Genomic DNA, 6000 nt, shown 5'->3' on the forward strand with positions numbered 1-6000 from the left:
AAGGTTAAATAACGCCATTAGGGTGGGCCCTAATCCAATAGGACTGGTGTCCTTATAGAACAGGAAGAGACATTAGGGAAGTTCATTTAGAGAAAAAAAGGCCATGTGAAGGCACAGTGAGAAGGTGGCCTTCTGCAAGCCAAGGAGAGAGGCCTCAGGAGAAACCAAGTCTGTTGACATCTTGATCTTGGACTCCCAGCATCCAGACTGTAAGAAATAAATTTATGTTGTTCAAGTCACTCAGTCTGTGGCATTTTGTTATGGCAGCCCTAGTGGATTAATATACGAAGATAAAAGAAAGAGCTGCTTCTATTTTTTACTTTATGTTGCAAGCTAATTCAGTCCTCGTGATGGTATTGGATCTACTTTTGTTAAGGTCATGGAGAATTTTCAAATCTAAGTGAAATATTTTAAATCTCCAGTTAGGAAGAACTATAGCATTGAGCACTGTTGATTACTCCTTCCTTCTTAAATTCATGACCATATTGATCAAATAGAGCTTGTCATTTTGGTATCAAATATACTAGTTCTTCAAGAAGCACATGCTGTCTCCACCACTTCTGTCTAATATGAAACCACCACTTGCACTTTTGGCTTCCCAGATTAGGGAGATTATTTTTAACTGGTTAAATTAGTTCTGGTTATTAGGCGTTAAATATGGGCATTAGTGGCATTAAAAAAGAGGTATCTAGGATCCCATAAGAAAGATTTGTGGCTCATACTATTTGTTTTCACCTTGCCTTGTAATCAGTCCCCACAAATCCGCATAATTTTTCTTGCATGCAAGGCATCTTCTTATGAAATGAGACCATATTTGTGACTTTCAAAATTCTTCCACATTGTCTATGATAGTGTACATGTGCAAACAATGGGAAATGCTCTCATGTCTGTGGTTGTCTTTGTAGTGGCCACTGGCAGGAAAGCCAGGAAGTTACTGCTGCAAACAGAAATAGGCTCTTAATTGCTTATGGACTCTCTTTAAAACTGCCTAATTAGGTGTACTGGTCTGTCTGCTGGCAAATTAGGAGGCCCCATGTGTTATTCCTAGGCTGCAGTTTTGAAGACACATGGGTCTCAGGCCAATGCCTGGTAGGAAAATGCTTTTATCTCTTTCAGAACAAAGCAATATTCCACAGAATGTCAGCCCAGTTCATCTTACTGGTATTGTCCGTGGATGTTTTCATGTACATGTTTCATGTACATGTACATTTATTGAGTCAAATAAAACTCAATATATATTTTTTATTATACCTACTTTCTTTCTTAAAATCTCTAGCTCAATTAATGTCAGCAATTTATCCAGCTGTACAAATTTTGGAATCCTTTTCTCTCTCTTCTTCCACATCCAGTCCATAACTATGTCTCACTGACTTTGCTCTGTAATGTATCTCCTCTCAGTCAACTGCTCTCTGCACCCACTGTTAGCAGCTTTAGTTCAGAGCTCCATGCTTTCACTGTTGGACTACTGAAATGCCTTACTAGCTGTTTTCTTAGAGGAGATCTCATAGTCTAGTAGGAAAGAGTTATTATCCAGATATTTGATTTGTTGTATATATATATTTTGTTGAAGGTGGAAGATAACCCTTGTCAACTCCATAATCCAATCAATATCTTCCACCATCCCTGCAACATCACAACATAACATTTAGACACCCAAGAATACAAAAATACGAATGTTGAAAACCTGTTACCTAAATTGCTTTGTTTTGTGATAACCTAAGAACACTTTTTTTCATCCAGATAGAATCTAAAAATAAAAAATACCGTATTATAAACAGTACTACTACTACCAAGTTTAGTTATTTATTTGCCCACAATATGCCACCTCTACTCCCTAACCCCCTACCCCCCACAGTGGCTCATCTGAACTTTATATAGAATGCATAGAATAATTGTATATGCTTTGAAGGGATTTTCATAGAGCAGGGTTATCTGCATTTTGGTGTCTTCTGGCATGGATTTGAGTGTCTTTACCTTTTGGTCAGGCACGTCTATGCTTAGGTCTCTGCCTGCCTTTCTGCTGGATGAATATTAGCACAGATGTGAAATCTGGAGAGGACTGAGGCATGTATTAAAGGTAAATAAAAGTAGTCATGAGTTCTGAGTAAGAACAGATGATCAAGCAAAAAGAGCTCTCTGAAGGTTAAATGAGGTTATACATATATGGAGAGAGATCTGTGTTCAGTGCTGGACTCATAGTAGAAAGTCAGTGTTAAAAGAATTGGTGAGTAGATGTTAGAGGTGTCAAGGATTGCCTTGAATGTTGGATGGTTTGTGAGTCTGGCAGGGTTGACAAGACGTGATACCTTGGGCTGGCTTAAGGGACTGTCATTGTGCAGTCATGCATTCTTTGTGTCTAGCAGTGTTTAATTCATATTATATTCTGGTTAAATATGTTTGCATATTTAAATTGTTTATTGGATGTATGGGAAATTTACTAATTATTTGGCATTATTTTTTCATTGACTGGATGTTAGGTACGCTGTTGATTTTTTTTAGAAGGCAATGTATTAATATATCTTTACTATCTCTTTGATATGACAATTTCCTAGTATGGACAGAAAACTATGAACCATGCACTGTTATTCCCACCTGAGAGATATGCCCTTTTAGTATGACAATGATCATAGTGGATCTTTGGCCTGTTTTCAGATTTTCCATATCAGGTGTTTATTTTCACCTGCAGTCAGCCTTAGGATTTAACTAAGTTTCCAAAGTACCTGTAGCATTGTTATTCCTGGCAGCCTAAAACACTCATACTTTTGCTCCCTTTCCCAGTATATTTTGGCAAGTGTTGAAGAGCAGCAAGGAAAGAAGAGTTTGGGCCCCCTTTTTGATCTAGATGAAATGGAGGCATTGTTGTCAAAGGCCCTACAACTTGTTCATATGCACCTATCACTTTATGACACTTAAACCCTAAGGCAAGGAAGAAAGTAGCTTCCCTGCAGATTTCTCAGCATCTGAGCAGATGGGTGTGATCTTAAGCAGCCAACATTGCCCATATGTTCCTAATGTTGAAAGGAGGATTCTGAGCCAAGAATGACTGCAAAAGCCTGTCTCATCATACCTCCTCTCTCAGGTGGCAGCAATAAATATGGTCCCCAGTAGGATTAATTAAATAAAATGGAAAGCACTGTTGAACATTATGGGATGAAATGGAAGATACTGTATGGAAGGAAGTCCAATGGTGATTTGATCTCAGTGGGAAATGTTGGAGAAAATTCCTAACAAAATTTTCATTAGGACATCATCAAATTGGTCAGCATGTGTTTGCAACTATGAGTTAGTTAGTACAGAAGCTGTAAGCCATAAAAAACACATGTGACCAAGCTTCAGGCCTACAGAAGCAGATATTAAATACAATGTTTGTTAAATATCAGCTTTTTTTCTGGTACATTATGAAGTGTACTCAATATTAAAAGACGCTTACTATACCTGAAGATTTTTTTCCCTAGAATGTTTCAAATAGTAATTTCTTTCTGTAGCTCTCAGTGACTCTATATGCTTATCAAATAGCACAGACTAGAACCCAGTCTCTCCTTTTGAAAGTTATGATCTATGATGACACACTTTTGTATATTACCACACCATTGAATATCTGTGGAGGTAGAACACACCACTAGGCTTTCTTTGATAGTAATTTTTTTTTTTTTTTGAGACAGAGTTTTGTTCTTGTTGCCCAGGCTGGAGTGCAATGGCGTGGTCTTGGCTCACTGCAACCTTCACCTCCCAGCTTTAAGCAATTCTCCTGCCTCAGCCTCCTGAGTAGCTGGGATTACAGGCACCCACCACCACACCCAGCTAATTTTTTTTTTTGTCTTTTTAGTAGAGATGGGGTTTCACCATGTTGGCCAGGCCAGTCTCGAATTCCCAACCTCACGTGATCCAACTGCCTCAGCCTCCCAAAGTGCTAGGATTATAGGTGTGAGCCACTGCGCCCTGCTGATAGTAACATTTTTACACATTAGTTGAGTAAGAATAAAATACTTTTTCATAGGGGCAAAAAATAAAGTGTTTGTTAATAATTATAATATTCCCACAGGAGAAACATAATGCAGAGAGGTTTATTTCAATTTCAATTGTAAAAATTAGAAACATAATCATTACAAAGTAAAATTTATTTCTTATATTTATCTGGATATATTCATGTAAATGTATAGTTTAAATAAATTTTTGTTTTCTAAATGTAACATGCTACCAATGTTGTTGATGCTGTGTTAAAATTAGTCTTAAGCAAATAGATACTCTGGCTTCTCTTATACAGGGAAAAGAAAAAATTGAATGACAGGTCCCAGTTTTTCAAAAAATTGGTTTCCTCTATAAAATATAAAATTAAGTGCTAGTTAAATATGAATATTAGTACTTATGGACTATACATACAGTGAGTCAAAATATTGCAGCTGTACATAACACTGAACCATAGCCATTACTATCAATTTTCTCCTCTGTATTGCAAAGAAGCTGGCCAAGAGTTTGAGGCTCACTCAGTTCAACAAAAATACTTAGTGAGGGGTTTCTTGCTGCTGAATAAGAAAGTACCACTTTCTGTTTATCCCAGAGCACCTCAGATGATCAGTACTCAAGATCATAGAAGTCTAAATGAGTACAACTTAATGTGAAGTTTTGTTCATATCTAGATCAGAGTTTGGAGAAGGTGGAAAGATACTGGGTGCTGTGATTTGAATTTTTCCCCAAAATTCAGGTACTTAAATTTAATCACCACTGTAACAGTATTAAGATGTGAGGCAATAAGATTAAGTCAGGAAGGTATTCGATTAAGAGGGGATTAGGGCCCTTATAGAAGGACTTGAAGGAGCAGGTTCATTCCCTTTCCTTACTTCCACCATGTGAGGACATAGCACTCATCCCCTCCAGAGCATGCAACAACAGGGTACCATCTTGGAAGCAGAGAACAACACCAGACACTGAACCATTCATTCAGTTCCTAGATCTTAGACTTCCCAGCCTCCAGAACTGTGAAAAATACATTTCTATTACTTATAGATTACTCAGTTTGAGGTATTTTGTTATAGCAGCACAATTAGACTGTGAAAGAAATTGATACCAAGAGTGGGATGTTGCTATAACAAATACCTGAAAAGGTAGAAGTGGCATTGGAACTGGATAATGGATAGAGGCTAGACTACAAAGGGTTATTCTGCTGAGGGCTCAGAATCATAGAGGTAGGAAAAGCATGAATCTTCTTAGGGATTACTTAGGTGATTGTGATCAGAATGTTGATAGAAGTATGGATGATAAAGGGCAATTCTGATGAGGTCTTAAATGGAAGTGAGGGACAAGGTATTGGAACTAGAGGAAAGGCCATCCTTGTTATAAAGTGACAAAGAACTTGGATAAATTGTGTTTATGTACTTGTGTTTTGTAAAAGGTGGAATTTAAGAGCAATGAACTAAGATTTTGCAGAAGAAATTTCTGCAAAGTGTTCAGGGTGCTGCACAGATTCTCTTGACTGCTTATAGTAGACTGTGAAAAGGGAGAAATGTATTCAAGATGAAATTAATAACCAAAAAGGAAGCAGAACTGAAGTAGCTGGAAAATTCTCAGCCTGGCCAGGTTGTAAAGAATGAAATGCTATGTTTAGAATAGAACACCGAAAGTATAGCCAAGTGACTGATAAGATTAGTATGGATAGAAGGAAGCCAGATGCTATTCATCAGAACAATGGAAGAATGACCCTGAAGGCATTAGGGAGATTTTCAAGGCTGTTATTCCCATTGCAGGCCCAGAGTGCTTATGTCCTTGAGGGCAGAATGGTTTCAAGAGATGGGCCCAGGGTGCCTGTAGAAACTTGGTTCTCACTGCTCAGGGCTGTTTCAAGTTTCTGTTTCATATAAACTGGCTGGGTGATCCTTGGCTGCCTCAGCTATGGCTCATGCAGGCCCACGTGTGGCTTGGACTGGCCCTCTAAAGGGCATAAGTAGTAAGCATTGGCAGTGTCTGTGTGGTAGTAATTCTGCAAGTGTGCAGAGTACAAGAGCT

This window comes from Homo sapiens, chromosome 6 (assembly GCF_000001405.40).
Source record: "Homo sapiens chromosome 6, GRCh38.p14 Primary Assembly".
In the NCBI taxonomy this organism is placed as follows: domain Eukaryota; kingdom Metazoa; phylum Chordata; class Mammalia; order Primates; family Hominidae; genus Homo; species Homo sapiens.